Raw genomic sequence first — 21,733 nt, 5'->3', positions numbered from 1 at the left:
CTCGACCCCCAGCCTTTTCCAGGCCTGGGGGTTCTGGGCCAGGTTTAGTGGTACACTTGTGGGTTCCTCTTATGCCCACTGCCCTTCCACTCTGCTCCATCCCAGCTCCGGGAGGTGCAGGGTGCAGCCTAGCCCTCCCCAGCTAGGGGAGTGGGCACCTGCTGTGTGGTGGCAGTGAGGGTTGGGGGTTCTGAGCTGCGTGGTGGCAGCTGCCACCGGCTGGAGTGGCTGGACTTGTGGCCCCGAGGCATGGCCAGTCCCAGCAGCTTCCCAACAGGGAAGGGCCCTGGAGCCCGGTGCTGCCCTGGCTGGTTTGGTGGCCCCATGCACTCCCCCTGGGTGCTGAGCTACCCCTGCCCCTGTGCATGTGGCTGTGGGCACAGAGCAGGCCTGGTGGCTGTGGCTGAGCTGTGGCCTCCTCTCTGCTGTGAGCAGATCTCAGATATCCAGGTGAGTGGGCAGTCGGAGGACATGACGGCCAAGGAGAAGCTGCTGCTGTGGTCGCAGCGAATGGTGGAGGGGTACCAGGGCCTGCGATGCGACAACTTCACCTCCAGCTGGAGAGACGGCCGCCTCTTCAATGCCATCATCCACCGGCACAAGTACATGGCCCCGGGGGCAGGGGGCTGTGGGCTGGGGGCACCCCCACAGCGCCTCCACTAGGCAACTTCAGACACGTTGGGGCAGGGAGGAGGGCAGGAGGAACAGGGATGAGTGCCAGCTGGCCGCCTCGGGGTGGTGGAGTTCAGGGCCCAGCCCCACCCTGGTGTCCTTCAGAAGCACCACCACTTGATCTCAAGACTGGAGGGCCCGCGGGCTGCTGGTCCTCACAGCCAGGTGCATGTGCCCTCTGTGGACGCCTCCGGAGGGGCCTGGTGGGGAGGGTGGCTGCAGGGAACCCCAGCTGCCTGGCACCCTCAGCTCTGCGCAGTCCTCTGTGCTGTGCCCCTGGGCTTCTGGGTGTGGGGGTGGCAGGGTGCTCTCAGCTCTGCCCATGTGACAGTGTATTTTTCAGGGTGAGTGTTGGGGGGGTCCATGGTTGCTGGGATGTGTGAGGAGCCGGCCTGTGCACCCGCCTGTGTGGTGTGGCCGCTGGTCTTGTCCCACCCACCTGACCAGCCACCTGCTTGTCCCAGGCCCCTGCTCATCGACATGAACAAGGTGTACCGGCAGACCAACCTGGAGAACCTGGACCAGGCCTTCTCTGTGGCGGAGCGGGACCTGGGAGTGACGCGGCTCCTGGACCCTGAGGGTACGTCTGCGTGGCCTTCCTCCCTGTCCCTTCCCCTGCTGCCTGCCCCAGAGCCACCGCTGAGCTGCCCTTCCCTGCAGACGTGGATGTCCCTCAGCCCGACGAGAAGTCCATCATCACCTACGTCTCGTCGCTGTATGACGCCATGCCCCGCGTGCCGGACGTGCAGGATGGGGTGAGGGCCAACGTGAGTGGGGGGCCCGGAGGGCAGGGGGCTTGGGCCTGGACGCCCCGACGACCCCTGACAGCCGCCCGTGCCTGCCCGCAGGAGCTGCAGCTGCGCTGGCAGGAGTACCGGGAGCTGGTGCTGCTGCTGCTTCAGTGGATGCGACACCACACGGCCGCCTTTGAGGAACGCAGGTTCCCCTCCAGCTTCGAGGAGATTGAGGTGGGCCTGCCGTGGGGGGCGGGGTCCTGGGCCTGCCCTGAGAGCCCGGCGTGGTTGCCGACAGCCTCGTCCCTGGCAGATCCTGTGGTCTCAGTTCCTGAAGTTTAAGGAGATGGAGCTACCAGCCAAGGAGGCCGACAAGAACAGGTCCAAGGGCATCTACCAATCCCTGGAGGTGAGTGGGACCGCTGGAGGGGTGGGTGGTGTCCTGGAACGCCCCAGGCCTGAAAGGTTCTTCCGGAGCCGACCTGGCCCTGCCTTTGGGACCAGGGCTGTCCCAGGTCTGGTGGGCTGGGGTCTGAAGGCCCAGCGCCCCACCCCCTGCCCCCTGCCTATAGGGCCTGAGTGTGGCCCCTGTCTACAGGGAGCGGTGCAAGCAGGCCAGCTCAAGGTGCCCCCTGGCTACCACCCGCTGGATGTGGAGAAGGAGTGGGGCAAGCTGCACGTGGCCATCCTGGAGCGGGAGAAGCAGCTCCGCAGCGAGTTTGAGAGGTGGGTGGGGCCCTGTGGTGGCAGGGGAACCACCCGAGGGTGTGTCACTGCCTGGGAAGGAAACCCCCCTCCCCGCCCCGCCCCCGGCGGGGGAACCCAAGCTCCCACTCGCCTTAGGACAGTGGGCCACAGCCAGGGAGACCGGAGCGGGAGGCGAGCTGCAGTCTGTGGCCAGGGCTGTGCCGGACCCGGCCAACGCGGCCCCTTCCCTGTGCTGCTGCTGCAGGCTGGAGTGTCTTCAGCGCATCGTGACCAAGCTGCAGATGGAGGCGGGGCTGTGTGAGGAGCAGCTGAACCAGGCCGACGCCCTGCTGCAGTCGGTGAGGGGGTGTGGGGCAGGCAGTGGGCGGGAGGGAGGCCGGAGGAGCCTGCCCCGCCCTGCAGCCCTAAAGCCAGGAGGGGGCTGTCCCCCTGGGCTCCTGGGGCAGGGGCAGGGGCAGGGGCGGGGCATGTGGTGGGGAATCCAGGCCTGAGCTCCTCCCTCCTCGTGTGCAGCTAACTCTCACTGCCTGCTTTGGGCAGAGTTGGTTTCTGGCCACGGGGCAGAACCCACGCTGGGCTGCCTTGCCCCCGCCAGGCCCCCTCCCCGACAGCGGCTTACTGTTAGGGGAGGGGTTGGGGGAGGGCCCAACCCACTGCTGATTGCCCAGGAGGACAGGGCCCACGTGGCATTACAGGAGGAGTTACCCAGGGTGGGTGATGGAGGATGAGGCCCAGGACCCCACAGACATGGTCATGGGGGTCTCGGTTCTTGGACTGGGCTAAGTACTCTGGACTTGGTCCCAATCCCCCAGAAGGCCAGTAGGAAGATGTGTGAGGTGGGCAGGGAGGGAAGGGGAAGGACAGGGATGGAGGCAGTGGCCCACTGAGGCTGAGGAAGCGGCTGAGGGTGGCCGTCTTGGCCGGGGCCCCTGTGAGGTCAGAGGGGGATCAGCTGTGCTCCGAGTCATGGCAACGACCTTGCAGGATGTCCGGCTGCTGGCTGCAGGCAAAGTGCCACAGCGGGCGGGGGAGGTGGAACGGGACTTGGACAAGGCGGATAGCATGATCCGGCTGCTCTTCAACGACGTGCAGACCCTCAAGGATGGACGGCACCCGCAGGGCGAGCAGATGTACCGCAGGTGGGCCCCGCCCTGCCCTCCCTGAAGCCCAGGTACACACGGCCCCAGGCCCGCCAACACCTACCTGAGTCCTCTGCTGCCCCAGGGTGTACCGTCTGCACGAGCGCCTGGTAGCCATCCGCACCGAGTACAACCTACGGCTGAAGGCAGGCGTGGCGGCCCCTGCAACCCAGGTGGCCCAGGTGACTCTGCAGAGTGTGCAGAGGCGCCCCGAGCTGGAGGACTCCACTCTGCGCTACCTGCAGGACCTGCTGGCCTGGGTGGAGGAGAACCAGCACCGTGTGGATGGCGCTGAGTGGGGTGTGGACCTGCCCAGCGTGGAGGCGCAGCTGGGCAGCCACCGAGGCCTGCACCAGTCCATCGAAGAATTCCGGGCCAAGATCGAGCGGGCACGGAGTGACGAGGTGGGTGGCGCTGAGCGATGGGCAGTGCGGGGGTGGGCCGGGCCCAGCCACTGCAGACCTCACCGTCTCATCTGTTGCAGGGCCAGCTCTCCCCCGCCACCCGGGGTGCCTACCGTGACTGCCTGGGTCGGCTGGACCTGCAGTACGCCAAGCTGCTGGTGAGTGGGGGCAGGGCCAGCCGGGGGAGGTGGGTAGCCCGCGGCCTGCTGACACGCACCCTCCTGCCCACAGAACTCCTCCAAGGCCCGCCTCAGGTCCCTGGAGAGCTTGCACAGCTTTGTGGCAGCCGCCACTAAGGAGCTAATGTGGCTGAATGAGAAGGAGGAGGAGGAGGTGGGCTTCGACTGGAGCGACCGCAACACCAACATGACCGCCAAGAAGGAGAGCTACTCGGTGAGCGGTGGCCCAGCTGCCCTGAACCCCACAGCCCCCTCCCCAGCTGTGCCCTGGCCGTCCCCTATGGTCAGAGACCAGTGGGGGCCCTGGGTCGAGTTTGCTGGGAGCGTGGCAGAGCCGGGTGTGGCCGGCCGTCCCTGAGACCCTTTGCTCTGGTGCCAGGCGCTGATGCGGGAGCTGGAGCTGAAGGAGAAGAAGATCAAGGAGCTCCAAAATGCTGGGGACCGGCTGCTGCGGGAGGACCACCCGGCCCGGCCCACGGTGGAGGTGGGGCTCCCTGGGTAGGGGCGGGGCTGCGGGGGGGGCCGTGCCGGGTCCCCAGGCGGGGCGGGGCGGGGCCTGACCGGGACCTGCTGTCCCGCAGTCCTTCCAGGCGGCCCTGCAGACGCAGTGGAGCTGGATGCTACAGCTGTGCTGCTGTATCGAGGCACACCTGAAGGAGAACGCTGCCTACTTTCAGGTGAGAACCGGAGCCCCCTCCGCACTGTGGCTCAGCGGCAGCCTTGCAGGAGCCCCTGGACCCCCTCGGCAGCTCCAATCAGGAGCCCTCCTGTCTGCAGACGTTGCCAGCTGCTGCCTGCAGCCTGACCGGGGCCTTGGACAGGGGTGCTCCCCAGGCCTCCTGGGGGCTTTGCCACTCCTTCCTCAGTGCCCCCGTCTTGGGCCTGCCCTGGGACAACTGTGGGCTGGGGCTCTGGTCCCAGGTAGCCTGGCGTGACCCCCTCCCGCTGCCCCAGTTCTTCTCAGATGTGCGGGAGGCCGAGGGGCAGTTGCAGAAGCTGCAGGAGGCACTGCGTAGGAAATACAGTTGTGATCGCTCCGCCACCGTCACCCGGCTGGAGGACCTGCTGCAGGATGCCCAGGTGAGGGAGGGGGTGTGCAGGGGCGTGTCAGGAGGGGCTGGCCTGGAGTCTGGGCTGCACGGGTACTCTGGAGACTAGGGGGCAACTGGAGGGGCCAGCAGGAGTTGGGAGGCACCATGGGAGGTGTAGAGGTCAGCCGAAGCGGGAATGAGGCAGGATGTTCTGGGCTGCATGGGTACTCTGGAGACTAGGGGGCAACTGGAGGGGCCAGCAGGAGTTGGGAGGCACCATGGGAGGTGTAGAGGTCAGCCAAGGGGGGAATGAGGCAGGATGTGGGGAGCCGAGAGGCAGCCGGTCCAAGCCGGGCCGCCCCCATCTCCATAGCCACAGAGTGAGTGGAAGCCTGAAGTCAGCAGCTGCCGCCAGCCCTTGTGCTGTAGAAGGGGCACCGCCAGCCCTTGTGCTATAGAAGGAGCACTGCCAGCCCTTGTACTATAGAAGGGGCACCAGCTGTTTGGCCTGAGATCTGGAGCGGGCAGAGTGGAACTGGGCTTTGTGCTCTGGGAGCAGGGGTGGGATCACCCAGGAGGGCGGGTGCACAGTGGGGAGTGACAGGGAAGAGGGACTGGAGACTGAAATGGCCTCTGAGGTCGGCAGGGCTGGGCCGGGGGGAGAGCCGGCAGCTCCCAGGTGTGTGCCGTCCTGCGGCCTGGCCCCCGCAGAGGGGTGGGATGGGAGGAGGCAGTACCTTCTGCAGCCCGCAGGGGAGGGGCAAGGGGCGAGGGCATTGTAGGGACCAGAGCGTAGCTGGGAGGACATGGTGGGTGAGCTGGGGTGAGAGGAGGGTGCCCTGTCTGGGTTGGGAAGGAGCGAGGGTGCATGGGTCTGCTTGGGGCCAACCCCCGGGGCCTGTCCCAGCTATACCTCCTGCTTCCAAGTGCTGCCACCCCGGGAGCATCAGGAGGGCCCCACAGGCCTGGTCCCGGGGTCTGGGGGTGCCTGGGGCAGGCCTGTGGGTCTCCATGGCCCTCGTCTGGATGCTGCCCCTCCCCCACAGGACGAGAAGGAACAGCTGAACGAGTACAAGGGCCACCTCTCAGGCCTGGCCAAGCGGGCCAAGGCCGTCGTGCAGCTGAAGCCCCGCCACCCAGCCCACCCCATGCGGGGCCGCCTGCCCCTGCTGGCCGTGTGCGACTATAAGCAGGTGGAGGTGAGCGCAGGCCGGGGGTCCACTGGGGGGCGTGGCCAGGCAGGGCAGGGTGTGGCCATGTCCTCACCGACTCTGCCCGTCCCAGGTGACTGTGCACAAGGGTGACGAGTGCCAGCTGGTGGGCCCTGCACAGCCGTCCCACTGGAAGGTGCTCAGCAGCTCCGGCAGCGAGGCCGCCGTGCCCTCCGTGTGCTTCCTGGTGCCCCCGCCCAACCAGGAGGCCCAGGAGGCCGTCACCAGGTGGGTGGCGGGGGCTCAGCAGGTGGGGGCTGGAAGGCGGGTGGGGCGCTGGTGACGCTGACTGTAGCCCTGACCTGCCAGGCTGGAGGCCCAGCACCAGGCCCTGGTCACGCTGTGGCACCAGTTGCACGTGGACATGAAGAGCCTTCTGGCCTGGCAGAGCCTTCGCCGCGACGTGCAGCTCATCCGCTCCTGGTCCCTGGCCACGGTACGCCTGCCCCCGAGCCGGGGGCTCTCTGGGTGGGAGGAGGGGAGAGGCGTTGTGCAGGGCACGGCCGCCTCGCCCGGCACTCAGCCCCACGTGCTTCCCCCAGTTCCGCACCCTGAAGCCAGAGGAGCAGCGCCAAGCCCTGCACAGCCTGGAGCTGCACTACCAGGCCTTCCTGCGGGACAGCCAGGACGCGGGCGGCTTCGGACCCGAGGACCGGCTGATGGCTGAGCGCGAGTACGGCTCCTGCAGCCACCACTACCAGCAGCTGCTGCAGAGCCTGGAACAGGGTAGGGCACGGCAGGGCTGGGGCGGTTGGGCTGGTGCGAGGTGGGCGGTGGAGTGACCCACATGTGTTCCCCAGGTGCACAGGAAGAGTCTCGCTGCCAGCGCTGCATCTCCGAGCTCAAAGACATCCGGCTGCAGCTGGAGGCCTGTGAGACGCGCACCGTGCACCGCCTGCGGCTGCCGCTGGACAAAGAGCCGGCACGGGAGTGTGCCCAGCGCATCGCCGAGCAGCAGGCAGGGGCCGTCCCCCCCCATCCAGTCCCATCCCTCTCCCCATCCCTCCTCCCACCCTCCCTCCTTTGGCCTTCAAGGGGCGCTGTGTGCTGCGCTCGGTGATGAGTGCGTTCCCACTCCCTGTCTTTGCAGAAGGCACAGGCAGAGGTGGAGGGGCTGGGCAAGGGGGTCGCCCGGCTCTCTGCCGAGGCCGAGAAGGTCTTGGCCCTACCAGAGCCATCGCCTGCGGCCCCCACGCTGCGCTCGGAGCTGGAGCTGACGCTGGGCAAGCTGGAGCAGGTCCGCAGCCTGTCTGCCATCTACCTGGAGAAGTGAGTGCACCTGGCCACAGGCGAGGGGCTGGGGTCGGCTGGGGGGTGCTGGGGTGAGGGCTGTGACCTTGCAGGAGGGTGCAGGAGGGAACGAGTTGGGGGCTGTTCAGAGATCTGGCCAGGAGGCGGGAGGCCCAGCTGGGGTGGTGGCCGCAGAGGTGGTGAGAAGAGTTCAGGGCTGGATACGCTTCGACAGTGGCGGCCGGGGGACTTCCTGGTGATGAGATTCGGGTGTGGGGAAGAGACAGTGGAGCTGGGCAGCGGCTGCTGAGTGAGGTGGGGAAGCTGTGGATCCACTTTCAGTGGCACAGTAAGGAATCCTGCACCCTGCCTCTCGTCTGTCCTGTTCCTGGCCTGGACTTAAGGGCCTCTGGCATTTATTTCCAATGTGTTATGTCATAGTCTCTTCCTGTGTTGCAAACCACAGGTCCACCCGCTGTCTACTCCTCACAGAACCAGCACAGTGATAGGGCCGCCGCCTCTTCCTGTGTTGCAAACCACAGGTCCACCCGCTGTCTACTCCTCACAGAACCAGCACAGTGATAGGGCCGCCACCTCTTCCTGTGTTGCAAACCACAGGTCCACCCGCTGTCTACTCCTCACAGAACCAGCACAGTGATAGGGCCGCCGCCTCTTCCTGTGTTGCAAACCACAGGTCCACCCGCTGTCTACTCCTCACAGAACCAGCACAGTGATAGGGCCGCCGCTGGCTACCACAGGGTGCCATTTCCACCCCGGTGTCCCCTTCGCCCAGTCTTGGGCTGCAAGGGCTGAGAACTACGCTTCCAGGCCCTGTGGGCACCAGGATGCCGCTGTCATCCAGCCAGTGGGCTCGTCCTGTCTCGGGGCCTTGGGGTCTGCCGTTCCTGGCTGGCGCACCCCCTCTCCAGGCTGGGTCCTGAGTGTCCTTGTGTTACAGAGGCTCCCAACCTCCTTCTCCCCAAGGCTGTTCTTCTCCTGAAGCAAGCCTCTGACCACAGGGTCAGCTGACCCCCAGGGTTGGGTCTGGGCTTGGCAGGCAGCACCCTGGGTCGCTGTGGCTTGGGTTCCATTCCCTTGGGCTATTGCTCGAGCCCCATGTCATGGCCCTGAGCCCCGCTTTCCCGCCAGGCTCAAGACCATCAGCCTGGTGATCCGCGGCACGCAGGGGGCCGAGGAGGTGCTCAGGGCCCACGAGGAGCAGCTCAAGGAGGCCCAGGCCGTGCCGGCCACCCTCCCGGAGCTCGAGGCCACCAAGGCCTCTCTGAAGGTATCGTTTCGAGGCTTGGGCTTCATGGCGGGGTGGGGGTACAGCGGGCCCAGCTGAAGCCGCACATGTCCCTCCTGTCCCCAACAGAAGCTGCGGGCCCAGGCCGAGGCACAGCAGCCCACGTTCGACGCCCTGCGGGATGAGCTGCGGGGGGCACAGGAGGTGGGGGAGCGACTGCAGCAGCGGCACGGGGAGCGGGACGTGGAGGTGGAGCGCTGGCGGGAGCGGGTCGCCCAGTTGCTTGAGCGCTGGCAGGCTGTGCTGGCCCAGACCGACGTGCGGCAGCGCGAGCTCGAGCAACTGGGCCGCCAGCTGCGTTACTACCGCGAGAGTGCAGACCCCTTGGGCGCCTGGCTGCAGGACGCCAGGCGGCGGCAGGAGCAGATCCAGGCCATGCCGCTGGCCGACAGCCAGGCTGTGCGGGAGCAGCTGCGGCAGGAGCAGGTGGGCTTGGGTCGGTGGGGACGGGGCGGCTGGGCGTGCCCTGCGGCCACGGCTCTGACCACACCATCACCCAGGCCCTGCTGGAGGAGATCGAGCGCCACGGCGAGAAGGTCGAGGAGTGCCAGAGGTTTGCGAAACAGTACATCAACGCCATCAAGGTGAGGCCCAGCCGCCTGCACCAGGCCCCAAGTCCGGGACCGTTGCCAGGATGATGGCGGGCTTTCCCTGAGCCTGGGCCATGCCAGGGAAAGCCCATGTGAGGGTTTAGGGGCTGGGCAGGGGCCATCGGAGGGCAGAGCTGGTGGCTGACCGCAGTGCATTGCCACAGGACTATGAACTCCAGCTGGTGACGTACAAGGCGCAGCTTGAGCCGGTGGCCTCCCCGGCCAAGAAGCCCAAGGTCCAGTCGGGATCAGAGAGTGTCATCCAGGAGGTAGGGTGGGGCCGAACCTAACTGGGTGAGGGGCTGGCAGGCCTCTGGCTGGAGCTGCAGCTCTCGCAGGGCTAACCCTGGCTCTACTCCACAGTACGTGGACCTGCGTACGCACTACAGCGAGCTGACCACACTGACGAGCCAGTACATCAAGTTCATCAGCGAGACTCTGCGGCGCATGGAGGAGGAGGAGGTACAGCCCGTTGGGCGGAGGCTGGGCAGAGGGTTCCATCTCACCACCTGTTGTGTCCCACACACAGCCACAGGAGCTGCCTGAGGCCACCTCTCGTGGCCCTCCCCACTCTCCCCACTGGCGCTGCCAGCACCCCCTGCCCCCAGCTCAGCCTGCCCCAGGCTGCCCCACCTGTGGCCTGCCCCCCTGGCCTGGTGTGGCTACACTGCTCCCCCACAGTGGCTGGTGCCGCCTCTCCTCCCTCGTGAGCGTCCCCCCTGCAGCCTAGCGGCCGTCCTGTGGGCTCTTCCTTGGCGTTCTGCGTTGGCCTTTCCGCTCAACCCTTTGCTGCCAGAAGTCGGGGGTGCTGAGTTGTGGGGCTAGGGAGGGTCTTCCAAGGCACCCATCTGTTGGCTTCTCCCTACCTTCTGCGTGGCCCTGAATCCTCTTCCGAGTTGGCTCGGGTCTGCACTGCTGTCTCCACGCTGGCCGCCTCGCCTCACCCCGCCCCACCCAGGCTTCCCACCCTGGTCGGGGAGAGGGGTCCAGTGGTGGGAGCCAGGCCCACTGGTGTCCAGCAGAGCTCAGGCAGGGCTGTGTGCTGGGTGTGGCTCGCAGGTTCCGAGCTCCTGCTTTGCTCTCTCTCTCCCCGTCCGTCTGTCTCCGTCGCCTGTCTGCGGGAAGCAGGGAGGACGCCTGGGCCTCCTTCCCCAGGCTGGTGAGCACAGTGGGGCCGGCTGCGATCGCTGCCCGAGCGCCCTGGGCGGGTGCACGCTGTCTCCTCCGCCGGGCTGGGGCCTCTGTCTTCCCCGACCCCTGCTCCGCGCTGTCTGAGTGAACTGTGCCGGTGCGTGCCCCGTCAGCGCCTGCCCGTGTTCACACTCTCTCTGCTTCTCTTCTTCTCTCTGCTGTGGCCACAGAGGCTGGCTGAGCAGCAGCGGGCAGAGGAGCGCGAGCGGCTGGCCGAGGTGGAGGCCGCGCTGGAGAAGCAGCGGCAGCTGGCCGAGGCGCACGCCCAGGCAAAGGCACAGGCGGAGCGGGAGGCGAAGGAGCTGCAGCAGCGCATGCAGGAGGAGGTGGTGCGGCGGGAGGAGGCGGCGGTGGACGCGCAGCAGCAGAAGCGCAGCATTCAGGAGGAGCTGCAGCAGCTGCGGCAGAGCTCGGAGGCGGAGATCCAGGCCAAGGCCCGGCAGGCAGAGGCGGCTGAGCGCAGCCGGCTGCGCATCGAGGAGGAGATCCGCGTGGTGCGCCTGCAGTTGGAGGCCACCGAGCGCCAGCGTGGCGGGGCTGAGGGGGAGCTGCAGGCACTGCGTGCACGGGCGGAGGAGGCTGAGGCACAAAAGCGACAGGCGCAGGAGGAGGCCGAGCGCTTGCGGAGGCAGGTGCAGGACGAGAGCCAGCGTAAGCGGCAGGCGGAGGTGGAGCTGGCCTCGCGCGTGAAGGCCGAGGCCGAGGCGGCGCGCGAGAAGCAGCGGGCCCTGCAGGCCCTGGAGGAGCTGCGGCTGCAGGCGGAGGAGGCGGAGCGGCGCCTGCGGCAGGCCGAGGTGGAGCGAGCGCGGCAGGTACAGGTGGCCCTGGAGACGGCGCAGCGCAGTGCAGAGGCGGAGCTGCAGAGCAAACGCGCCTCCTTCGCCGAGAAGACGGCACAGCTGGAGCGCTCCCTGCAGGAGGAACACGTGGCTGTGGCACAGCTGCGGGAGGAGGCTGAGCGGCGGGCACAGCAGCAGGCCGAGGCCGAGCGGGCGCGCGAGGAGGCAGAGCGGGAGCTGGAGCGCTGGCAGCTCAAGGCCAACGAGGCGCTACGGCTGCGGCTGCAGGCGGAGGAGGTGGCGCAGCAGAAGAGCCTGGCGCAGGCCGAGGCTGAGAAGCAGAAGGAGGAGGCGGAGCGCGAGGCGCGGCGGCGCGGCAAGGCGGAGGAGCAGGCCGTCCGGCAGCGGGAGCTGGCTGAACAAGAGCTGGAGAAGCAGCGGCAGCTGGCGGAAGGCACCGCGCAGCAGCGCCTGGCCGCGGAGCAGGAGTTGATCCGGCTGCGGGCCGAGACGGAGCAGGGGGAGCAGCAGCGGCAGCTGCTGGAGGAGGAGCTGGCCCGGCTGCAGCGTGAGGCGGCTGCAGCCACGCAGAAACGGCAGGAGCTGGAAGCCGAGCTGGCCAAGGTGCGGGCCGAGATGGAGGTGCTGCTGGCCAGCAAGGCGAGGGCTGAGGAGGAGTCGCGCTCCACCAGCGAGAAGTCCAAGCAGAGGCTGGAGGCCGAGGCCGGCCGGTTCCGCGAGCTGGCCGAGGAGGCCGCCCGCCTGCGTGCCCTGGCGGAAGAGGCCAAGCGGCAGCGGCAGCTGGCCGAGGAAGACGCGGCGCGGCAGCGGGCCGAGGCGGAGCGGGTGCTTGCGGAGAAGCTGGCCGCCATCGGCGAGGCCACGCGGCTCAAGACGGAGGCGGAGATCGCGCTCAAGGAGAAGGAGGCGGAGAACGAGCGCCTGCGGCGGCTGGCGGAGGACGAGGCCTTCCAGCGGCGGCGGCTGGAGGAGCAGGCCGCGCAACACAAGGCTGACATCGAGGAGCGCCTGGCCCAGCTGCGCAAGGCATCGGACAGCGAGCTGGAGCGGCAGAAGGGGCTGGTGGAGGACACGCTGAGGCAGCGGCGGCAGGTGGAGGAGGAGATCCTGGCGCTGAAGGCGAGCTTCGAGAAGGCGGCCGCTGGCAAGGCGGAGCTGGAGCTGGAGCTGGGACGCATCCGCAGCAACGCGGAGGACACGCTGCGCAGCAAGGAGCAGGCCGAGCTGGAGGCTGCGAGGCAGCGGCAGCTGGCGGCGGAGGAGGAGCGGCGGCGCCGTGAGGCTGAGGAGCGCGTGCAGAAGAGCCTGGCGGCCGAGGAGGAGGCCGCACGGCAGCGGAAGGCGGCGCTGGAGGAAGTCGAGCGGCTGAAAGCCAAGGTGGAGGAGGCGCGGCGCCTGCGGGAGCGAGCGGAGCAGGAGTCGGCGCGGCAGCTGCAGCTGGCCCAGGAGGCCGCCCAGAAGCGGCTGCAGGCGGAAGAGAAGGCACACGCCTTCGCGGTGCAGCAGAAGGAGCAGGAGCTACAGCAGACGCTGCAGCAGGAGCAGAGCGTGCTGGACCAGCTGCGCGGCGAGGCGGAGGCGGCCCGGCGGGCGGCTGAGGAGGCGGAGGAGGCCCGGGTGCAGGCGGAGCGTGAGGCGGCGCAGTCCCGGCGGCAGGTGGAAGAGGCCGAGCGGCTGAAGCAGTCGGCAGAGGAGCAGGCACAGGCCCGGGCTCAGGCACAGGCGGCTGCAGAGAAGCTGCGCAAGGAGGCCGAGCAAGAGGCGGCGCGGCGGGCACAGGCGGAGCAGGCGGCCCTGCGGCAGAAGCAGGCAGCTGACGCGGAGATGGAGAAGCATAAGAAATTCGCCGAGCAGACGCTGCGGCAGAAGGCGCAGGTGGAGCAGGAGCTGACAACACTGCGGCTGCAGCTGGAGGAGACCGACCACCAGAAGAACCTGCTGGACGAGGAGCTGCAGCGGCTGAAGGCGGAGGCCACGGAGGCCGCACGCCAGCGCAGCCAGGTGGAGGAGGAGCTCTTCTCGGTGCGCGTGCAGATGGAGGAGCTGAGCAAGCTCAAGGCACGCATCGAGGCTGAGAACCGCGCACTCATCTTGCGTGACAAGGACAATACGCAGCGCTTCCTGCAGGAGGAGGCTGAGAAGATGAAGCAGGTGGCGGAGGAGGCCGCGCGGCTGAGTGTGGCGGCCCAAGAGGCTGCGCGACTGCGGCAGCTGGCAGAGGAGGACCTGGCACAGCAGCGGGCCTTGGCAGAGAAGATGCTCAAGGAGAAGATGCAGGCGGTGCAGGAGGCCACGCGACTCAAGGCTGAGGCGGAACTGCTGCAGCAGCAGAAGGAGCTTGCGCAGGAGCAGGCGCGGCGGCTGCAGGAGGACAAGGAGCAGATGGCGCAGCAGCTGGCGGAGGAGACGCAGGGCTTCCAGCGGACGCTGGAGGCCGAGCGGCAGCGGCAGCTGGAGATGAGCGCTGAGGCTGAGCGCCTCAAGCTGCGTGTGGCCGAGATGAGCCGAGCCCAGGCCCGCGCTGAGGAGGACGCCCAGCGCTTCCGGAAGCAGGCGGAGGAGATCGGTGAGAAGCTGCACCGCACGGAGCTCGCCACCCAGGAGAAGGTGACCCTGGTGCAGACACTGGAGATCCAGCGACAGCAGAGTGACCATGATGCCGAGCGCCTGCGGGAGGCCATCGCTGAGCTGGAGCGTGAGAAGGAGAAGCTCCAACAGGAGGCCAAACTGCTGCAGCTCAAGTCTGAGGAGGTACCGCCCCCTCTACGTGCGACGGGCGGGTGGGCCCGGGGATCTGCTTTGGTGGGTGATGGGTGCTCCTGGGCTGGCGGTCCCTGATCACACCCTCTTCTTCTGCAGATGCAGACGGTGCAGCAGGAGCAGCTGCTGCAGGAGACGCAGGCCCTGCAGCAAAGCTTCCTCTCTGAAAAGGACAGCCTGCTACAGCGGGAGCGCTTCATCGAGCAGGAGAAGGCCAAGCTGGAGCAGCTCTTCCAGGACGAGGTGGCCAAGGCACAGCAGCTGCGTGAGGAGCAGCAGCGGCAGCAGCAGCAGATGGAGCAGGAACGGCAGCGGCTGGTGGCCAGCATGGAGGAGGCGCGGCGGCGGCAGCATGAGGCCGAGGAGGGCGTGCGGCGCAAGCAGGAGGAGCTGCAGCAGCTGGAGCAGCAGCGGCGGCAGCAGGAGGAGCTGCTGGCTGAGGAGAACCAGAGGCTGCGTGAGCAGCTGCAGCTCCTGGAGGAGCAGCACCGGGCCGCGCTGGCGCACTCAGAGGAGGTCACTGCCTCGCAGGTGGCTGCCACAAAGACCCTGCCCAATGGCCGGGATGCACTTGATGGCCCCGCGGCAGAGGCAGAGCCGGAGCACAGCTTCGATGGCCTGCGGCGGAAGGTGTCAGCTCAGAGGCTGCAGGAGGCCGGCATCCTGAGTGCGGAGGAGCTGCAGCGGTTGGCGCAGGGCCACACCACGGTGGACGAGCTCGCACGGCGGGAAGACGTGCGCCACTACCTGCAGGGCCGCAGCAGTATCGCAGGGCTGTTGCTGAAGGCCACCAATGAGAAGCTGAGTGTTTACGCCGCCCTGCAGAGGCAGCTGCTGAGTCCCGGCACGGCCCTCATCCTGCTGGAGGCGCAGGCGGCCTCAGGCTTCCTGCTGGACCCTGTGCGGAACCGGCGGCTGACCGTCAACGAGGCTGTGAAGGAGGGTGTGGTGGGCCCCGAGCTGCACCACAAGCTGCTGTCGGCCGAGCGCGCCGTCACTGGCTACAAGGACCCCTACACTGGCCAGCAGATCTCTCTCTTCCAAGCCATGCAGAAGGGCCTCATCGTCCGGGAGCACGGCATCCGCCTGCTGGAGGCCCAGATCGCCACGGGCGGCGTTATCGACCCCGTGCACAGCCACCGCGTGCCCGTGGACGTGGCCTACCGGCGCGGCTACTTCGACGAGGAGATGAACCGCGTCCTGGCGGACCCCAGCGACGACACCAAGGGCTTCTTTGACCCCAACACGCACGAGAACCTCACGTACCTGCAGCTACTGGAGCGCTGCGTGGAGGACCCCGAGACGGGCCTGTGCCTTCTGCCACTCACGGATAAGGCTGCCAAGGGCGGGGAGCTGGTCTACACTGACTCCGAGGCCCGGGACGTCTTTGAGAAGGCCACCGTGTCTGCGCCGTTCGGCAAGTTCCAGGGCAAGACGGTGACCATTTGGGAGATCATCAACTCGGAATACTTCACGGCAGAGCAGCGGCGGGACCTGCTGCGGCAGTTCCGCACGGGCCGGATCACAGTGGAGAAGATCATCAAGATCATCATCACGGTGGTGGAGGAGCAGGAGCAGAAGGGCCGGCTTTGCTTTGAGGGCCTGCGCAGCCTGGTGCCAGCCGCCGAGCTGCTGGAGAGCAGGGTCATCGACCGCGAGCTCTACCAGCAGCTGCAGCGAGGTGAGCGCTCTGTGCGAGACGTAGCCGAGGTGGACACTGTGCGGCGGGCTCTCCGGGGTGCCAACGTCATCGCGGGTGTATGGCTGGAGGAGGCGGGGCAGAAGCTGAGTATCTACAATGCCCTGAAGAAAGACCTGCTGCCATCCGACATGGCCGTGGCCCTGTTGGAAGCCCAGGCCGGCACCGGGCACATCATCGACCCCGCCACCAGCGCCCGGCTGACCGTGGACGAGGCAGTGCGTGCTGGCCTGGTGGGCCCCGAGTTTCATGAGAAGCTGCTATCAGCCGAGAAGGCTGTGACAGGGTACAGGGACCCCTACACAGGGCAGAGCGTCTCCCTGTTCCAGGCCCTGAAGAAGGGCCTCATTCCCCGGGAGCAGGGCCTGCGCCTGTTGGACGCCCAGCTGTCCACGGGCGGCATCGTGGACCCCAGCAAGAGCCACCGCGTGCCCCTGGATGTCGCCTGCGCCCGAGGCTGCCTGGATGAGGAGACCAGCAGGGCCCTGTCGGCACCAAGGGCCGACGCCAAGGCCTACAGTGACCCCAGCACAGGGGAGCCGGCCACCTACGGCGAGCTCCAGCAGCGGTGCCGGCCCGACCAGCTGACCGGGCTGAGCCTGCTGCCGCTCTCAGAAAAGGCTGCTCGGGCCCGGCAGGAGGAGCTCTACTCAGAGCTGCAGGCCCGTGAGACCTTTGAAAAGACCCCGGTTGAGGTCCCCGTGGGTGGCTTCAAGGGCAGGACGGTGACGGTGTGGGAGCTCATCAGCTCTGAGTACTTCACTGCGGAGCAGCGGCAGGAGCTGTTGCGTCAGTTCCGCACGGGCAAGGTCACCGTGGAGAAGGTCATCAAGATTCTCATTACCATCGTGGAGGAGGTGGAGACCCTGCGGCAGGAGAGGCTGTCCTTCAGCGGCCTCCGTGCCCCTGTGCCAGCCAGCGAGCTCCTGGCTTCCGGGGTCCTCAGCAGAGCCCAGTTTGAGCAGCTCAAGGACGGCAAGACGACGGTCAAGGACCTTTCGGAGCTGGGCTCCGTGCGGACGCTGCTGCAGGGCAGTGGCTGCCTCGCCGGCATCTACCTGGAGGACACCAAGGAGAAGGTGTCCATCTACGAGGCCATGCGCCGGGGCCTGCTGAGAGCCACAACGGCTGCGCTCCTGCTGGAGGCGCAGGCGGCCACTGGCTTCCTGGTGGACCCCGTGCGGAACCAGCGCCTGTATGTCCACGAGGCCGTGAAGGCGGGCGTGGTGGGCCCCGAGCTTCACGAGCAGCTGCTGTCTGCCGAGAAGGCCGTCACCGGCTACAGAGACCCCTACTCGGGCAGCACCATCTCCCTCTTCCAGGCCATGCAGAAGGGCCTGGTTCTCCGGCAGCACGGCATCCGCCTGCTGGAGGCCCAGATCGCCACGGGCGGCATCATCGACCCCGTGCACAGCCACCGCGTGCCTGTGGACGTGGCCTACCAGCGCGGCTACTTCAGTGAGGAGATGAACCGCGTCCTGGCGGACCCCAGCGACGACACCAAGGGCTTCTTTGACCCCAACACGCATGAGAACCTCACGTACAGGCAGCTGCTGGAGCGGTGCGTGGAGGACCCCGAGACGGGCTTGCGCCTTCTGCCACTGAAAGGGGCGGAGAAGGCTGAGGTGGTGGAGACCACGCAGGTGTACACTGAGGAGGAGACAAGAAGGGCATTTGAAGAGACACAGATCGACATTCCCGGCGGCGGCAGCCACGGCGGCTCCACCATGTCCCTGTGGGAGGTGATGCAGTCGGACCTGATCCCCGAGGAGCAGCGGGCCCAGCTGATGGCTGACTTCCAGGCCGGCCGGGTGACCAAGGAACGCATGATCATCATCATCATCGAGATCATTGAGAAGACAGAGATCATCCGCCAGCAGGGTCTGGCCTCCTACGACTACGTGCGCCGCCGCCTCACGGCTGAGGACCTGTTCGAGGCTCGGATCATCTCTCTCGAGACCTACAACCTGCTCCGGGAGGGCACCAGGAGCCTCCGTGAGGCTCTCGAGGCGGAGTCCGCCTGGTGCTACCTCTATGGCACGGGCTCCGTGGCTGGTGTCTACCTGCCCGGTTCCAGGCAGACACTGAGCATCTACCAGGCTCTCAAGAAAGGGCTGCTGAGTGCCGAGGTGGCCCGCCTGCTGCTGGAGGCACAGGCAGCCACAGGCTTCCTGCTGGACCCGGTGAAGGGGGAGCGGCTGACTGTGGATGAGGCTGTGCGGAAGGGCCTCGTGGGGCCCGAGCTGCACGACCGCCTGCTCTCGGCTGAGCGGGCGGTCACCGGCTACCGTGACCCCTACACCGAGCAGACCATCTCGCTCTTCCAGGCCATGAAGAAGGAGCTGATCCCTACTGAGGAGGCCCTGCGGCTGCTGGATGCCCAGCTGGCCACCGGCGGCATCGTGGACCCCCGCCTGGGCTTCCACCTTCCCCTGGAGGTGGCTTACCAGCGTGGCTACCTCAACAAGGACACGCACGACCAGCTGTCAGAGCCCAGCGAGGTGCGCAGCTACGTGGACCCGTCCACCGACGAGCGCCTCAGCTACACGCAGCTGCTCAGGCGGTGCCGTCGTGACGACGGCACCGGCCAGCTGCTCCTGCCACTGTCGGACGCCCGCAAGCTGACCTTCCGTGGCCTGCGGAAGCAGATCACCATGGAGGAGCTGGTGCGCTCGCAGGTCATGGACGAGGCCACGGCGCTGCAGCTGCGGGAGGGCCTGACCTCCATCGAGGAGGTCACCAAGAACTTGCAGAAGTTCCTGGAAGGCACCAGCTGCATCGCTGGTGTCTTCGTGGACGCCACCAAGGAACGGCTCTCGGTGTACCAGGCCATGAAGAAGGGCATCATCCGCCCCGGCACAGCCTTTGAGCTCCTGGAGGCGCAGGCGGCCACCGGTTACGTCATCGACCCCATCAAGGGACTGAAGCTGACGGTGGAGGAGGCTGTGCGTATGGGCATTGTGGGCCCCGAGTTCAAGGACAAGCTGCTGTCGGCCGAGCGCGCCGTCACTGGGTACAAGGACCCCTACTCTGGGAAGCTCATCTCCCTCTTCCAGGCCATGAAGAAGGGCCTGATCCTGAAGGACCATGGCATCCGCCTGCTGGAGGCCCAGATCGCCACGGGCGGCATCATCGACCCTGAGGAGAGCCACCGGCTGCCCGTGGAGGTGGCCTACAAGCGCGGCCTCTTCGATGAGGAGATGAACGAGATCCTGACCGACCCCTCGGACGACACCAAGGGCTTCTTTGACCCTAACACGGAGGAGAACCTCACCTACCTGCAGCTGATGGAGCGTTGTATCACTGACCCCCAGACGGGCCTGTGTCTCTTGCCGCTGAAGGAGAAGAAGCGGGAGCGGAAGACGTCCTCCAAGTCCTCCGTGCGCAAGCGCCGAGTGGTCATCGTGGACCCCGAGACGGGCAAGGAGATGTCAGTGTACGAGGCCTACCGCAAGGGCCTGATTGACCACCAGACGTACCTGGAGCTGTCCGAGCAGGAGTGCGAGTGGGAGGAGATCACCATCTCCTCCTCGGACGGCGTGGTCAAGTCCATGATCATCGACCGCCGCTCCGGGCGCCAGTACGACATCGATGATGCCATCGCCAAGAACCTCATCGACCGCTCGGCACTGGACCAGTACCGCGCCGGCACGCTCTCCATCACCGAGTTCGCCGACATGCTCTCGGGCAACGCCGGTGGTTTCCGCTCCCGTTCCTCCTCGGTGGGATCCTCCTCCTCCTACCCCATCAGCCCCGCCGTCTCCAGGACCCAGCTGGCCTCCTGGTCAGACCCCACTGAGGAGACGGGCCCCGTGGCTGGCATCCTGGACACGGAGACGCTGGAGAAGGTGTCCATCACCGAGGCCATGCACCGGAACCTGGTGGATAACATCACGGGGCAGCGGCTGCTGGAGGCGCAGGCCTGCACCGGGGGCATCATCGACCCCAGCACCGGTGAGCGCTTCCCTGTCACCGACGCCGTCAACAAGGGCCTGGTGGACAAGATCATGGTGGACCGCATCAACCTGGCCCAGAAGGCCTTCTGCGGCTTCGAGGACCCACGCACCAAGACCAAGATGTCGGCCGCCCAGGCCCTGAAGAAGGGCTGGCTCTACTACGAGGCCGGCCAGCGCTTCCTGGAGGTGCAGTACCTGACCGGCGGCTTGATCGAGCCCGACACGCCGGGCCGCGTGCCCCTGGACGAGGCCCTGCAGCGCGGCACGGTGGACGCCCGCACCGCACAGAAGCTGCGTGACGTGGGCGCCTACTCCAAGTACCTCACCTGCCCTAAGACCAAGCTCAAGATCTCCTATAAGGACGCGCTGGACCGCAGCATGGTGGAGGAGGGCACGGGGCTGCGGCTGCTGGAGGCTGCCGCGCAGTCCACCAAGGGCTACTACAGCCCCTACAGCGTCAGCGGCTCCGGCTCTACCGCTGGCTCCCGCACCGGCTCGCGCACCGGCTCCCGGGCCGGCTCCCGCCGCGGCAGCTTTGACGCCACCGGCTCCGGCTTCTCCATGACCTTCTCTTCATCCTCCTACTCCTCCTCGGGCTACGGCCGCCGCTACGCCTCGGGGTCCTCGGCCTCCCTGGGGGGCCCTGAGTCTGCCGTGGCCTGAGGCTGCCTGCGCCCACCCCGCTCTGCATGCGGCCCAGCCCGGCTCCCACCGAGGCGCGGGGGCCGTTTTCAACGCTTAAAGGTGTCTTCCTCCCAAGTGGTGCCTAAAGTTTAACCAAAAAGACCAGACTAATATATTAATATATATCTGCTGTCCAGACAGCCTGTATCTTGGGGGACAGGGCTGGCCCAGCCCTGCTGGCCGCCTCACCCCCTCGGGTCTCCTCACTCCCTTCTACCTGCCACTCACACAGCCAGGTGCCTTGGAGGGTCCCAAGCTGGGCCCCAGCCCACCCTCCTGTCTTCCCAGGGTAGCCCGCCTGCCAGTCCTAGCTGCACAGGGCAGCTGGGCCCAACCCTGTCTGTAGAGGGCCCTGGTGTTTCTAGCACTGGCCTGCACGGTGGGCCTTGCTGGGGACGGGGGGCCCCAGTCAGCCTCTCTCCCAGTCTACCCAGAGAAGCCCCTTCCCCATGGGAAGACGAGGCCCTCGGGCCCAGCCCCCACAGTGCTGTCTGATCTGTGCTTTCCAGCTCACCCCCCACACTCACTCCTGAGACCCCTGGCCTCCGGCGTCAGCCTCCAGCCTCTGTTCCCCTAGTAAGTGCCTTCCATGTCGGCCTCTAACCCCAGGCCCCGAGGACCCAGACCCAGTGGGGAGGCGGACGTTCCAGCCGGCATGGCTGGGAACTGCAGACCTGTCCTCCTGGTGGGTCCAGGGGCCCCTCCAGCTTGTGGAGCCCCACACTGGGGTGCCGCCTGCCCGTCTCTCTCCCATGGAGCCCCAGCCCCCTTTGGGCCCAGGGACACCAGCCAGGCTCTGTGCTGACCCTCCTGTTGCACCCAGCCCTGGTCTCAGCAGCGACCACCCCTGCCTCCACCCTCTGAGCTTTGCATGTTCCACTAACCCCGGGCGGGTGGCAGGTGGAGGTGTCAGGCTGCTGGCGCCTCTGCAAGGGCAGAACACTAACCTGACCGTGGGCGGGGCCTTGCGGTATCCGCCCCCAATAAAAGCAATTCCAACCTTCCCGTGCCTCCGGCCTTGTGTCTTGGGGTCAGGTGTGTGTCAGGGACAGGGTGGACATTGCAGCCCCAGGCTCCAGGCTCTGAGCTCAGCCACTATGGCCAGTCAGGGACGTACGTCTGTGTGCAGCAGAGACCAGGTGCTCGCAGGAGGGCAGCTGAGAGACCCTGGGCAGAGGGATTCAGTGTGGGGCAGGGTGGTGGCCACACTGAGGCCGGGCCCCCTGGGACCTGCTGCTGGTCAGGTGCTGACCAGTCTCCCAGCCCCACCCTTCGCACTATAAGGGGCTCACGTTTCCTTATCTGAGGCGGGGTGTGGTATGCTCCCATATCAGTCACTGGCTGTGGCCCCTTGGCCTCCGGGGAGGGTGCCACATGGCCCCGGGTCAGTTGGTTGCTGCTGGCCGGGCAGCCCTCCAGAGAAGGGGCCACAGGCAGTG

The 21,733-nt window shown here is 67.2% G+C and overlaps 1 protein-coding gene across 45 annotated transcripts in view, besides 9 other annotated features; it reads left to right on the top strand.

Moving 5' to 3' along the window:
• PLEC (plectin) overlaps positions 1 to 21,297 on the top strand; it is a 61,593-nt gene extending 40,296 nt beyond the window's left edge. For 21 of the 45 annotated variants that reach the window (NM_000445.5, XM_006716588.4, NM_201378.4 and 18 more), the window contains 27 exons: positions 436 to 602; positions 1,137 to 1,252; positions 1,333 to 1,439; positions 1,521 to 1,640; positions 1,720 to 1,815; positions 2,005 to 2,132; positions 2,359 to 2,452; positions 3,099 to 3,253; positions 3,339 to 3,657; positions 3,738 to 3,815; positions 3,889 to 4,050; positions 4,216 to 4,320; positions 4,418 to 4,513; positions 4,791 to 4,916; positions 5,914 to 6,066; positions 6,152 to 6,306; positions 6,388 to 6,514; positions 6,621 to 6,804; positions 6,879 to 7,036; positions 7,169 to 7,347; positions 8,458 to 8,596; positions 8,684 to 9,040; positions 9,115 to 9,198; positions 9,369 to 9,473; positions 9,568 to 9,666; positions 10,566 to 13,946; positions 14,055 to 21,297. In NM_000445.5, coding sequence (NP_000436.2) covers positions 436 to 602; positions 1,137 to 1,252; positions 1,333 to 1,439; positions 1,521 to 1,640; positions 1,720 to 1,815; positions 2,005 to 2,132; positions 2,359 to 2,452; positions 3,099 to 3,253; positions 3,339 to 3,657; positions 3,738 to 3,815; positions 3,889 to 4,050; positions 4,216 to 4,320; positions 4,418 to 4,513; positions 4,791 to 4,916; positions 5,914 to 6,066; positions 6,152 to 6,306; positions 6,388 to 6,514; positions 6,621 to 6,804; positions 6,879 to 7,036; positions 7,169 to 7,347; positions 8,458 to 8,596; positions 8,684 to 9,040; positions 9,115 to 9,198; positions 9,369 to 9,473; positions 9,568 to 9,666; positions 10,566 to 13,946; positions 14,055 to 20,273 — 13,209 coding nt within the window. In that variant the 3' untranslated portion in view covers positions 20,274 to 21,297. The remainder of the gene's footprint in view (positions 1 to 435; positions 603 to 1,136; positions 1,253 to 1,332; positions 1,440 to 1,520; positions 1,641 to 1,719; positions 1,816 to 2,004; positions 2,133 to 2,358; positions 2,453 to 3,098; positions 3,254 to 3,338; positions 3,658 to 3,737; positions 3,816 to 3,888; positions 4,051 to 4,215; positions 4,321 to 4,417; positions 4,514 to 4,790; positions 4,917 to 5,913; positions 6,067 to 6,151; positions 6,307 to 6,387; positions 6,515 to 6,620; positions 6,805 to 6,878; positions 7,037 to 7,168; positions 7,348 to 8,457; positions 8,597 to 8,683; positions 9,041 to 9,114; positions 9,199 to 9,368; positions 9,474 to 9,567; positions 9,667 to 10,565; positions 13,947 to 14,054) is intronic. The other 24 variants (XM_047421872.1, XM_047421875.1, XM_047421877.1 and 21 more) reach the window with 3 other exon arrangements.
• Positions 1,843 to 1,892: an enhancer, noted in NCBI's record as "active region_28077". NCBI's record gives its function as "activates an Ori minimal core promoter by ATAC-STARR-seq in GM12878 lymphoblastoid cells {active_cell/tissue: GM12878}" and the evidence as "EXISTENCE:reporter gene assay evidence [ECO:0000049][PMID:35858748]".
• Positions 2,183 to 2,292: a silencer, noted in NCBI's record as "silent region_19629". NCBI's record gives its function as "represses an Ori minimal core promoter by ATAC-STARR-seq in GM12878 lymphoblastoid cells {active_cell/tissue: GM12878}" and the evidence as "EXISTENCE:reporter gene assay evidence [ECO:0000049][PMID:35858748]".
• Positions 2,413 to 2,692: a silencer, noted in NCBI's record as "silent region_19628". NCBI's record gives its function as "represses an Ori minimal core promoter by ATAC-STARR-seq in GM12878 lymphoblastoid cells {active_cell/tissue: GM12878}" and the evidence as "EXISTENCE:reporter gene assay evidence [ECO:0000049][PMID:35858748]".
• Positions 3,301 to 4,236: an enhancer, noted in NCBI's record as "H3K4me1 hESC enhancer chr8:145006382-145007317 (GRCh37/hg19 assembly coordinates)". NCBI's record gives its function as "activates a minimal SCP1, AML or CMV promoter by ChIP-STARR-seq in primed H9 embryonic stem cells {active_cell/tissue: H9 hESC(primed)}" and the evidence as "EXISTENCE:reporter gene assay evidence [ECO:0000049][PMID:30033119]".
• Positions 7,461 to 7,710: an enhancer, noted in NCBI's record as "active region_28076". NCBI's record gives its function as "activates an Ori minimal core promoter by ATAC-STARR-seq in GM12878 lymphoblastoid cells {active_cell/tissue: GM12878}" and the evidence as "EXISTENCE:reporter gene assay evidence [ECO:0000049][PMID:35858748]".
• Positions 7,845 to 7,974: a silencer, noted in NCBI's record as "fragment chr8:145002644-145002773 (GRCh37/hg19 assembly coordinates)". NCBI's record gives its function as "represses an EF-1alpha promoter that drives an FKBP-Casp9 reporter gene in an ReSE screen in HepG2 liver carcinoma cells {active_cell/tissue: HepG2}" and the evidence as "EXISTENCE:reporter gene assay evidence [ECO:0000049][PMID:32094911]".
• Positions 8,101 to 8,230: an enhancer, noted in NCBI's record as "active region_28075". NCBI's record gives its function as "activates an Ori minimal core promoter by ATAC-STARR-seq in GM12878 lymphoblastoid cells {active_cell/tissue: GM12878}" and the evidence as "EXISTENCE:reporter gene assay evidence [ECO:0000049][PMID:35858748]".
• Positions 10,271 to 11,142: an enhancer, noted in NCBI's record as "H3K27ac-H3K4me1 hESC enhancer chr8:144999476-145000347 (GRCh37/hg19 assembly coordinates)". NCBI's record gives its function as "activates a minimal SCP1, AML or CMV promoter by ChIP-STARR-seq in naive H9 embryonic stem cells {active_cell/tissue: H9 hESC(naive)}" and the evidence as "EXISTENCE:reporter gene assay evidence [ECO:0000049][PMID:30033119]".
• Positions 20,143 to 20,338: a silencer, noted in NCBI's record as "fragment chr8:144990280-144990475 (GRCh37/hg19 assembly coordinates)". NCBI's record gives its function as "represses an EF-1alpha promoter that drives an FKBP-Casp9 reporter gene in an ReSE screen in K562 erythroleukemia cells {active_cell/tissue: K562}" and the evidence as "EXISTENCE:reporter gene assay evidence [ECO:0000049][PMID:32094911]".

Source organism: Homo sapiens, chromosome 8 (assembly GCF_000001405.40).
Source record: "Homo sapiens chromosome 8, GRCh38.p14 Primary Assembly".
Classification (NCBI taxonomy): Eukaryota; Metazoa; Chordata; class Mammalia; order Primates; family Hominidae; genus Homo; species Homo sapiens.
Note: the sequence above shows the minus strand (reverse complement) of the source record. Positions and strands in the feature narration are given on the sequence as shown.